The sequence below is a fragment of the Homo sapiens genome, chromosome 6 (assembly GCF_000001405.40).
Source record: "Homo sapiens chromosome 6, GRCh38.p14 Primary Assembly".
NCBI lineage: Eukaryota > Metazoa > Chordata > Mammalia > Primates > Hominidae > Homo > Homo sapiens.
In genome coordinates, this window is record NC_000006.12 from 128,508,762 (window position 1) to 128,521,286 (window position 12,525).

General features: G+C 40.9%; 1 protein-coding gene across 6 annotated transcripts in view, besides 2 other annotated features; it reads right to left on the reverse strand.

Moving 5' to 3' along the window:
• The window catches only part of PTPRK (protein tyrosine phosphatase receptor type K), a 551,815-nt gene extending 539,977 nt beyond the window's left edge, over positions 1 to 11,838 (reverse strand). For all 6 annotated transcript variants that reach the window (NM_001291984.2, NM_002844.4, NM_001135648.3 and 3 more), the window contains exon 1: positions 11,498 to 11,838. In NM_001291984.2, the coding sequence (NP_001278913.1) occupies positions 11,498 to 11,597 (100 nt within the window). In that variant the 5' untranslated portion in view covers positions 11,598 to 11,838. The remainder of the gene's footprint in view (positions 1 to 11,497) is intronic.
• Positions 11,012 to 11,605: an enhancer, noted in NCBI's record as "NANOG-H3K27ac-H3K4me1 hESC enhancer chr6:128840918-128841511 (GRCh37/hg19 assembly coordinates)". NCBI's record gives its function as "activates a minimal SCP1, AML or CMV promoter by ChIP-STARR-seq in primed H9 embryonic stem cells {active_cell/tissue: H9 hESC(primed)}" and the evidence as "EXISTENCE:reporter gene assay evidence [ECO:0000049][PMID:30033119]".
• Positions 11,606 to 12,200: an enhancer, noted in NCBI's record as "NANOG-H3K27ac-H3K4me1 hESC enhancer chr6:128841512-128842106 (GRCh37/hg19 assembly coordinates)". NCBI's record gives its function as "activates a minimal SCP1, AML or CMV promoter by ChIP-STARR-seq in primed H9 embryonic stem cells {active_cell/tissue: H9 hESC(primed)}" and the evidence as "EXISTENCE:reporter gene assay evidence [ECO:0000049][PMID:30033119]".

Here is a 12,525-nt window from a genome sequence, read left to right on the forward strand (position 1 = left end):
GCAAAATCCCGCCTCTACTAAAAACACAAAAAAATAGCCGGGCATGGTGGAGGCAGGTGCCTGTAATCCCAGCTACTTGGGATGCTGAGGCAGGAGAATCGCTTGAACCCAGGAGGCGGAGGTTGCGGTGAGCCAAGATCATGCCACTGCACTCCAGCCTGAGCAATAAGTGCGAAACTCCATCTCAAAAAAAAAAAAGAAAAGAAAAGAAAAGAAAACGAAAAAATTTCATAAATAAACAGCTTTTAAATTACACACCCTTCTGAGTGGCGTGATGAAATCACATGCTGTCTCACTCCGTCCTACCCGGGACATGAATCATCCCTTTGTCTAGTGTGTCCATATTGTACAGCCCACTTGCCTGTTAGTCACTCAGTAGCCATTTCCATTATCAGATTGAAACAACATGGTATAGTATATTTAAGGGTGGGTTCCATACGAGTTTCAGACGTCTACCGGGCACCTTGGAATGTATCCCCCAGAGATATGGGAGGGCTAGTGAACTACCTGGTAGCATTAAAGTTTATTTATACATACATAGGAAATACATATATGTGAAAAAAGTTGGGGGGACTGCTCTTTATGATACATGATTGCAGAATCACCCATTATTCACAAGAACCATGCTCATTCTTCTTTATTATACCACTTTCCCCAACATTGAGAGGCAATGTATCACTTAAACATGCAAATATATGAAGCATTTATTTATTGTTTTCATTTCCCTTCTTCAGCATACACACTTTTTGTGCCTTCAGCAATACTTTCCTTATTGTCAAAGTTTCTATTCCTAACAAAATTTACATTTTTATGGTAGTTTACAAATATAAAACTACTTTCACATATATTATTCATTTCACCTTAAAAGTGTCTGGTTCAGTAGACTAGACAAGACATTAAAGTCATTCTTCATTGTAATATTCTCATTTTGGTGATAAAGAAATGAAAGATCAAGCAGAAAGGACTGCTCCCAAATTTCAGAAAGTGACAGAGCTTAAGACTGGAACATAAGTCCTCCTGTAGCAAGGCCAGTGCTCTGTGCATTAAACAGCCTCCTGCATAGATCTCCAAAGGCATTGGTTCTGAGGTAGGTTGCTGCCAGCCCCTTCACCTCATTCATATATTTCCTGAGCATTTAAGTGTTGGTTTAGATAAAGGGGCATAATGAGTCAACACCAGATAGCAATCTGCTCCAACTGACCAGGTGGTTAGGGCAAATTATTACAAACTTCATCATTTAGGACTGACAGTCATCACATAAGGACATAAATAAGACAGAAAAAGAGTCATAAGTTATTATCATAAGTTATTTATGATAATAGACAAAAGTGTACGAAAACAAGCCTCCAGTGACAAAGGGAAGCATGATGAAGTCAGTAAACCTTCCTCCTCAACCACTGTCTACACCCCTATGTGCCAGGCCAGCTGCCCTGGCCATTGAAGGTCCATTACGGACCATTAAAGTGCCTGGAGACTATCCCCTGGCCTCAACTGGCACAGCCATGGTCCTCAGTCAAATCCACTAGCACTAACATGTGATTAAGACAGCCTGGGTAAATCTCTCATTAGGAGAGGAGGTAGCTAGGCAAACAGCTGCTACTTCTCTACATTTTATTCATTATTCAGTACCCCAAGATATTTCTTATAGCAACTCTTCCTAATATCCCATGTTGCTCAGATATACATAATAAATTTAGGCAGCAGAGGTTAGAGGATCAAAATTAAAAATAAAATCACCATCATCTCTTGAGGTTTTCAAAAATAGTAGAGTTAGTAGGTTTTGTCTGTGTCAATATCATTTACCACAGCTTACTTTACCCTTTGCTTTCTATTAAAAATAAATAAATGCATACATGCAAACACCTATACATGCATACATGTATAAATTCTGTCATGATATCTGAAAACCAAGCAGTTATCTAAGATAGTCTCTTGCATTCACAGACATATTATCACCTTATATGCAGACTACTATTCTAATCAAATCCAATCACTAAGTCAGGTTTATATTTGGAAATATTGTTTCAGAAATTTGGAATACAAGCCAAAAATTTTTTAATCTTAAATAATAATTATATAGATTACTGTTAAGGAAAATGATATATATATAGTATACATTAATATATGATACATATATAGTAAGAACACTAACCTATACATTAAAATCTTTAATTTGAGCTCAAGTTCTTCCTACCTGTATGACTTTGGGCAACTTACGTCAAATGAAGGGGTCATTAATTTCTAAGATCTTTTTTAACACCAAATTCTACAAATTTTTAATGTTAGACTAATTCAATACTGAGACAAGGAAAATAAAATAATGGAAATAATATAAATTCATGCTTTAAAGTAGTCCTTAAAGGGAAAGCCAATAAATAAACACTCTCAGATTAAAAACAGGTGATCTGTAAATGTATACAAGCCTGCCAGACACAAATTGCCTCTTTCCTCTCTTTCTCTTCCACGCTTTCCCACTTAGAGATCACCTAGTGGTCCACAACAGAGAACAATCTGATCCTACTGTCTCTTCCCCATCATCTCCCATCTTCTTTCTTCCCCATTAGAAAGATTACAAACCCTGGGCCAAGCCAATCAGCACACTAACTTCCCCTCAGTCAGAGCCTTAGATTCAATGGTTGGAAACAAGATCAGTGGATTCAAGCACTGTAAACCTTAGAGCCTTATCAGGTGCAACCAGCAGATAATTCACATTTCCTTAAGGGACTTGAACCTGGGATCTTGTTCGGTGGGAGCTGCCACAGCCATCGTGCCTCTATATGGAGCCTAAGAAGCTCCTGGAATACCCTAGAACTAAACTAAGCAGGCAGAGAAACATCATGTCTCAGTGGAATTACGTCAACTTCTAAATCAAGCTCCACCTGAACTGTAGTTAGGAGAGACAAATAAATTCACCTTTTGTTGCAACCAGTCTGGGTTACATTTTCTGCCAAGATGCAACCAAAGAAATGTCTAATCTTTAAACATTTGTGTACATTCATTAACGAATCTTGACTCTACCAGTGACTCATATAGCCACTTGGGACAAGTTATTACTTAACCCCTCGAGGCCTTAGTTTGTAAAATGGAGATGATCCTCATCTTAAAGGATATTGTGAGGATTTAAAATTATGTAAAACACTGATCACAGGCCCTAGCAGGTCATGGGCTCTCAGTAAATTACAGCTCATATTGTTATTTTTGCAATTGCTTTAGGAAAAGCTCTCTTCTCCAACATATAAGAAAATAAATGAACCTAATTATTGCTCATAAGAATAAAAGCAGTACTAGTAAAAAAGACAAGTTCCAGAATTTGGAGTCAAACTAGAAAAAGTAACTGTGAAGTTCTTGAAGATATACGAAAGTGCCCTCTCAGAGTCTCTCCACCACTACTTCTCCTCTAACAGTGATCAGTCTCCTATTAAATCTTTCTTTAAACATTAGTGTCTAAATTAAGTACATATGGAAATACACTGATTTACAGTTCATTAATTCAATAAATTATATATTTTATATTTAAGACAATATAGGTTATGCAGACTTTTATTTACAGTATCAAAAATATAGAGAACGTTGCTATTATCCCAAACTCCAGCTTCTGATCTCATGATACAGCCAACTGTAATGGGTGAACATTAATTTTTACTTCTTGTTTTTTATTAGTCTCTGCCATAACCACGTCATTATGCCAATATTTTCTGAATCACTAGTGAATGGCAAAAACAAATATAGCAGTTGTGATTTAATCAGAGACAACACTGTTGAAACAGCTAGCACAAGTAGACACATTTAGAATAGTAAATGGATAACAAAAAACACTTACAGGCTCATTAATAAGAAGGCAATTAGGTCTTCTGGGAAAATTCATTTTCTAAAAGAATGCTAAAGCAAGCTATAAAATGCAAGTAAAATTGTGTTTTGACATGAATAGTGTACACTGTCTATTACATCATAATTTTTCTCTTGAGAAAACTGACAAGAATCTCTGTTCTTAAATATGAGCACAAAAGATAATAAAAAGAACACCAGTTATATTTAATGCATTCTACCTACCAACTCCCATTCATTAAATTTGACTGTCCTATAAATGAGCTCCTTACTACAAAGATCTTAAATTACACTTAGATGAAAAAGAGAATTATAAAGCAAGAGACTGCTACTAGTAATGTCAGAGGGAATAGTATTTCCTGTATCAACATAACATTATGCTAAAAATGATTTGCATATAGCATGTTTGGTTCCTTGAAGAGTATGTTTATCTTTAAATATTCTTATACAAAATATTCATAACCAAAACTAGTCTTACTTTTAGTCTCTTATGAAAATATTTTTTTTCAAAGTCATCTGAGCATTCTTTTAAAAAGCTTGTATAGTACTGTTGTTTTGATGTGTCTGGAATATTAAATAATAATCAAGTAAATATTGATCAGAAATATACTCCAGGGGCCGGGCATGGTGGCTCACACCTGTAATCCCAGCATTTTAGAAGGCTAAAACAGGAATATCACTTCAGCTCAGGAGTTCGTGACCAGCCTGGGCAACATGGTAAAACCCCATCTTGACTAAAAATACAAAAATTAGCTGGGCATGGTGGCGCACCTGTAATCCCAGCTACTTGGAAGCCTGAAGCAGGAGAATCTCTTGAACCCAGGAGGCAGAAGTTTCAGTGAGCCGAGATCGTGCCACTGCACTCCAGCTTGGGTGACAGGGCAAGACTCCATCTCCAAAAAAAAAAAAAGAAAGAAAGAAAGAAAGAAATAAAGAAAAAGAAAAAGAAAGGAAAAAGAAATATAAATCCAAGGAAATGTATTTCAGGTTATCATTAATCCTTTTGCAATATTCTTGAAATTCTATGGTAAAGTTCATGTGACAATCTTTTTAAACTGAGCTTTCTTTGTCCTAGAGCAGTGTTTCCCAGAATTAAATGTTCCATCAAATCACCTGGGGATTTCATCAAAATGCAGATTCTGATTCAGTAGATCTGGGGTGACTCTGATGATCACAGATCATCACAAATTTCCAGATGATGCTAATTATATTGGTCCATGAACCACAAAATCCCAGGACACCTTGCAGTGAGGAATCCAATGACCATGAAGCAATCAGTCATCAATCCCTGGGTGGGTAGTGAGGACCCTAGAAAGCCTTCCTCTCTACTCTTGAATTTACTGAATGACCTAAGAAAAATCACATCAAGGAACTGTTGCCAGTCTGTCACTTAAGCAGCTGCTAGGTCACCTCCACTATCCAACACGGATTAAGGGAATTTCTGTGGCTGGTCAGCTGCTGCCTTGAACAGCGCTTGGAGAATCGGCCTATGAGCAGCTGGTTAAGGAACAGGCTGCACTGGGAAGGGTTTATATTAATAGATACCAATCTGGAGAAAGATTTATTATTTTATCCTTAAAAGTATAACAGTATAGTATAGTATACAGTATAGATTATATACAGCTTATTTTCCACTTGTTTCTACATCTATGAAATAAAGTAGTGATCTATTTTCACTACTCTTTCCAAAAATGTTAAGTATGGAGTTTTGATACCATCTCTAGATGCCCTTACCTTCTTTCTAACCTAAATGTTTCTACAACTAAGTCCTAGCATTGTTAAGATGTGTGTGTGTGTGTGTGTGTGTGTGTGTGTATTCACACAGAGGACTACATACTTACATCTTTCACATTTCCCAACAAAATAAATACAAACAATAACTCCACTACGCACTATTTTATTTTGCCTTGTTTCTGAATTCCCCTTATTAAAACAATTCCTAGAATGACACCTGTTGGAGGATTCAGCCAGCACTGCCCTGTTCATCATTTTCATTATCAGAGCTCAATAATCATATCAAGTGGAAACACGGATTATTCCATTTAGGACAACTTAATTTGATCCTAAAACAACTGTAAGTGACAAAATAAGCCACTTGTAATTTTTATGGATTATCAACACACGAAGGAGAATGCCAAAAATTTCAACCAGAGTTAAGTGGGGAAATGGCAATGTTCCACGAGAGGATCAATGTGATCCTTAGATCCCAGGCCCAGTGTTTTCCCAGAACCTCAACAATCTAAAAAAAACCTCACGAAACTAAGTTTTAAAATTACATACACTTAGTTTTCATTATTAAAATATTAAATACAGATCAAAAGAATTCCCACAAGAATACAAAAGGAAAATAAACATACTTCCCACAACAGAATCTTCATGAAACTTTAAAAACCTTTTATGTGAAACTACGTTTCTTTAGGAGTATTTTCACAAAACACATTTGCACTAATGTGGAGTGTGAAGTTTACAAACTATTCAGAGTTCACACTGATATCAAACATCATAACATTTTTTCAGTTTTCCAAGGCATAGTTGTATGTAACTTATCTCACTTATCTCAAAATATCAAGCAATGTGGTTCTGAAATTGTCTATCCCCATTTATAAAAGGGAACTTAAAGACTTCAGAAACAGCAACAAATAAATGTTCTGTGACATTAAAAGATTAGTTCATGGATATGCAAGTTTGCTTTTTGCTTCAATTGAAATAAAAAATAGCCTGATTAATGTATTATTCACTTACTTTGTTATCAAATACTGTTTTAAGACCTATCATGAATTGATGTCTTGTACTTTTTTTTTTCAGTACTATGACAAACAGCATGAGTTTTGATTAAAAAAACAAGTCATGTTCAAAAGCAATTACAACCTTTTTAGGCAAAAAGAAACACCATTTGAAGAAGGAACACAGACCAGATACATATGATCAAAGTGTAAAGACTGAGAAGAATACACAGAGGGAAATTTTTACATTGACAGAACTAGAAAATGTGTTTGCGCAAAGGCAAAGGCTGATTTCAATAAACAAGTCAAAAATACCATAGGACTTTTTTCCTCTTCTAAAAATTAAGTAAAAGATCAAAAACACATACACACACTCACACACACACATACACGTGCACACACACAGAATCCCTGTGTTCTTTGTTTTGTCTTTAAGAACAATCTGTAAACTTTCTTGATGCTTCCTGCTCTCAATCTTCCAGCATCTCTCTTCCTGCACTCCATGAAAAGCAAGTAGGGGAAATGGGAGCAGCACAGATCCCTATTTAGCATGATGTTCACTGTCTTTAATACCAGTTTGAGTAGACCTGGTATACTGCACTTTAAAAATATTAGTAGCCAACACACTTTTTCTATATGGAATCTTATCACATGAATTAAATATTACCTTAAAGGCCAGAAAAACCTGTAACAAACCATCATTGCTAGAAATATGAGATTTGGTGGGAATGTTGGCATTAGCTTTGGTTAGTGGATGAGTCATATTTCCAGTTCTTAAGGACATGTACAGCACTAAAATATATTTGGCAAAAACAAAAGGGCTGTGATCTTGTGTATATATATGTGGGGCTCTGTTTTTGCTAGAAAAGAGTAGGAGGGAGTGTGGGAGGGGGCAGAGTGGCAGAGGGGTTGATTTATTTTTGAAATTCACTTTTATGAGCACAAAGAGAAGAGCTGTCAGCAGCACACATGCCAATGTCCAAACAGCAGCCAGACTCTCCTCTTTCCGTCTGGGTAGGCCAGACACAAAACTACATCTCACGACCTAGGAAAATCAAGAGTCAGATGCAAGAGAACTAGAGAGAGAAAAAAAAACAGTCCTGGAAATGTCCAGCTACATATGATTGCTAGTGATTAGAACGTGGAGTTTTAATGAATTGAGGGATCGAGGGATATTTAGCCAATCAAAACCAAAAAAAACTAACAGGCAAACCTTAAAGCAAGCTGGCTCCAAAGTATCTTCCTAGCAGGTAATAAGTATAAGAGAAATTAATCTCACCTAAAGAGACAACAAGGAGTCAGATACTGCTCAGGTGCTGCTTAGATGAGTTACAGCATTCTAAGTGCACATCAACAGGGTGACATGTCAGGAACTATAGACAAAGCAGGATCTCGAGCTGTATTTCCAGGCTCCTATCATACAAGAGAGACAATAGTCCCTCTCTAGGTCATTGATAAGACTGCATCTAGAAAGCTACATATTATTCTCAACACAGAGTTGAAAACCTGAACCAACAGTTAAACAAACAGCTAAAGAAACTGACTAAAAATATTTTTTTCTGTAGTTAGAAATGCCAGGAATGTTAATAGTGACTCTTCCATGGGTCTAACTCAAGTAAGGATTTATACGAGGTAAGTTAAAAAAATTAAGGATAATCGATCATTGTGCTGACAAAATTATGGTCTGGCCAATCTAGTATGTTTATGTTTAACAATAACTATGTTAAACAATAATTAAATGAATGACTGGCTGAGTGAAAACACACACACACATGCACACACACACGTGCGCACACACACACTCACACACAAATCCTGAACAGCCTGCACTTACTGGAGAGAGAATTTGGAAGGAGTAAAAAGCTGAGACTAAGGCACTTAATGATGATTACACCCCAGATAGCTGCACAGTGCTTTACAATTTACAGTGCTAGTTCCCATAAATTACTTCATTTAATCATAAAAAACATGTGGAAAGGTCAAGTTGGGTATTATTATCCCCATTTTACAGAGGAGAAAGCTGAGTTTCCAAGTCACCTTACCTGCATCTGGTTTCGTCAGTCATCTAAGTCCTTCTACAGAAAACTTTCTTACATTATATCAAGAGATCACAGCTATACAACCCAGTGAATAAACTTTAATACTTCTTTATTCTTCTATGCCTCGGTTTCCTCAGATATGACATGGGTGTCATTTTAAGTGAGAGGTGAAACTGAAAGAATGTATGAGTTGGGATTTACAGAACGTTCTGGTTTTAAAGAGGCTCACAGTGCAGCAGTTTTACACTTTAACTGCAAAAGCTAAGAAAAAAGTCACAATAATGAAAACACTCTTACATTTTTGGTTTAAACAAAGAAAACTGAATAAGTATATGACACATCAAAGTCCCAACAATGCTCAGCCTTTCAAAATTTGCTTTTGAAGCTTACTACATTAGGAACCACATGATATCGGAAAGTAAACTGATCTTAATGAGTATGATTTGAAAGACATACTTCAGATATTTTTAAATTCTCAACATGAATTTGTCTTGGACTTTTAAAGTGGGTTTATTTAAATTTCTCAAAAGGAATAAAAGTTCACTAGTTAAAGTAAAATATAAGAAAAACCAGCAATATGGAATACACCTCCAATCTTCAATACATCTCTAATCTATGTCTGCAACAAATCTGACTGCCATAGAATTTTATGACAATAAAATATCAAATGATTTATGGTAGCCAGAAAAAAAAGGAAGTATTTACAAAACAAACTTATAATTTGTGGAGAAAGGCAAATCCACAATCTGACTTTAAACTCTGGGAATAAAAGACATTCATTTCTGGGCATACATTCCTAAAGGGCAAAATCTTGAGATGCAATCCTGTGATTACTGTACTTTTTAGGAATGCACATTATATTAATTAAATATACAACATCATGTCAAATGTTATGCTTTGTCACTAAAGAAAAGCCAGGCATATTTAGTTAAAGTACTTAGAACTAGATATCTAAGAACACAATTGTTTATTGTACGTATCTAAACTCCAGGTATCAGAAAAGCTCATTTTCACATTCAGCTGGAGGAAAAGTAGTATTTATTTGTTAATTAAAGGGTAAATAACATTTAAAAAGAGAAAAAGTTTTCTAACTGCTGAAAATATATCCATCGCTGTTGAGACATTAATAGTTGCAACTCTTGAATACATGTAAGTTTAATTATGCAACTGGTAGAGTTCAAACTTTCAATTAACAAACTACAAGCCTTTTCAAGCGTAGGCTCTCCGTGCAGTGACAAACACTGTGCAGAAATCAATACTCACTCCAACTTGCCTGCATATAATGAGTTACATCAAGCACGGTTTCAATGCTAACGGGCATTATATGTCAGAAATGCATGCAGTAATGCTTACTCCAGAAAGAATTCAATTAAACCATTGGATTATTTTTTGCATAGAGCTGTTACCCTCTGCGTACATCAATTATATACAGGGCTTTTCCTCTGCGTGCTGCCATTTCATAATCTCTGCCTGAATGTACGACACATGCTGCCACCTGAATCTGTTGTTTAACTCCCTTTACAGAGTTCTAAATGGGGCGGGGGTAGGAGAGCAATGGAAGGGAAATAAACGATTACTCCAGAAAACAACAATTTGAGTTTATTTCCAGGAAACAGGGCCTCCACAACAACGTGAGAAACTGTCAGGTACAAAGTAAGTTATTTGCGTCCTGCGGCTTCAGCCAGGAGCGTGGCTGTCGCTTTTCCCGTCTTCTCCATCACCCTCTGGCCACCACTGCGTCTCCATCTGCACCGCGAACCCCAGCAGCAGATGCGCTCGCCAGCCAAGCGAAGCTGGGTAGGTTGGCCAGAAAAGTTGTCAGGACTGGCGGGAGGTAGACAAGTGCTCGGGAGCCCGCTCCCCAGCGTCCACCTGGTGAAACTTCAGAGCCCCCAGAGGAGAGAACGAAAGAAGCAACCAACCTACACGAAGGATAACAAAACTGGAGGGGAACAGAGGGCGGGACCGGGAGAGCCAGGGTTCACGGACTTCTCTGAGCGGCTTGACCGAGAACCCCCAGGGCTACAGCGAGACGCTCCACTTGTCTCCTTTTGGGTTCTCCGGCAGAAGGCAGACATTTACAGTCCGCTTCCAGCCCCAGGCCGGATCCGGGGAGCGCGGGGCCAGAGCCCCAGGCCGGATCCGGGGAGCGCGGGGCCAGCCTGGCGGTGGTTTTGCCCGAGGAGCGGGCTCCCACGCGCGAGTCAGGCTTCCTCCACCAGGCGCCCAGACCTCGATGCCCATGAACGCTCAGAGTGGGTCCTTAGAACCGCATTTCAACACATCTTACAGGGCTCCGCCAACACACACACAGAACATGCTCCAAGCAGTGCCCGAGCGCACAGGGCAAGCCCGGGAGCAACCCAGAGCTGGGGGAGGAGAAAAGGGGACTCCGGGAGGGACGGGGAAGTAGTTAGACAATAGTCAGGGGAGGTTATTCCCGGGACAAAAAGCACCTGGCAAAGCGCGCCGAGGTCAGTCCCTTCGAATCTCCACATTTCTGACAATGGCTTCCCAGGGAATTTGTTTAAACACCCAAGTGGCAGACAGCAACAAACCCGCACCACAAGCAACAGAGTGCCGTCACGGGAGTCGTAACTACTTTTTCTTTCTCTCTTCCCCACTAGCCCGGCGCAGGCCACGCGAGACGCCGAAGCCAGCAGGTCCCCACACTCTCCGGCTAGACCGTGCCAGCCTGAGCCCCGAGCAAGCTTCGGAGAGGAACAATGGGTGCCCCGCGTCCCACCTGGCACGAACTCTGGGGACAGCCCTCCCTCTACCCTGTGTTCCCCACCCCCGGACAGAGAGAGCTCCCCACGATCCTTGTCCCCAGCCCTAGCGGGGACCTGGCTCACCCCTCGTGAGCCCAGGACTCCAGGCGTTCGTCGGGGACGCCCCCCGGCCACTCACCTGCGGAGAACTGGCCTTGGGCCGATCCCAGGAGAGGCCAAGGAGAGAGGAGCAAGAGCGCCACAAAAGCAGGCAGCGCCGCCGCCGCAGTCGTATCCATGCCGAGTTTGGGAGAAGTTTCAAGCAGCTTTGCAAAGAGCTGCCGGGGGGATCGCCGCGAAATCCACGACGGAGGAGCGGGCCGGGCCTCGCGGGGTGAGGACGGTGAGAGGACAGCCGCCCGCCCGCCCTTTTTCCTTCTTCGCGGTCGCCAAACTACCTCAGGGGCGAAAGCGTCGCCAGCGTCGCCGGCCGGCCGCGGCGGCAGCTCTCCATGCTCGGCGGAGGCTGCTCCTGTTAGTCAAGAGTTACTTTGCTCGGGGAGGGACGGGGGCGGAGCCGGGGGTGACGTCGCCCCGCGGGCTCCGGGCGCTTCTGAGGAATGCGGGCTCGGGCGCGGCGCCGCCACCGCCTCCTGCCGGAGAGACGCGCGCCAGCCCCGGCCGCGCGCCCCGCGCCGCCTTTGTTCGCAGCCTGGGCCCCGCCGCCAGCCGCTGCTCGGAGGGAGCGAGCGAGAAAGGGGAGCCGGCGCAGCTCGCTGCCCTGTTCCAGAACTCAGAATTTGAGAGGCGAGAGTTCGGTAAGCCGTGCGACCAGACGACCGAGGACGCGCGCAGAGAAACCCCCGCCGTCCGAGGAGAGGCGTCCTGGGGTTCCGTCCCAAGGTGGAGGTCCCCCCGAGCGGTTGCTGATTGAAAGGGGAGTGTGGAAGCGCCCTGAGGAAACACCCGCCTGCCTTGAAAACTCCCCGTTCCTTATTCTTGTAATAAGGAATAAGACACCCCACCCCCATCGAAAACTTGTCCCTTATTCATAGAATAAATAAAACTTGAACCAGAATAAACGATCAGTAACTTTCCAGCGTGAACAGCTGGCGTGTCTCCTTTCTGGTTTATTTGTCATTGGCCAAGTATTTGGATTTACTCTGCTTCACTGACTTTGCTTGTTGCTCTGAAACCCTCCGGCCCCTTTCCAGTTCTCACCTAAGA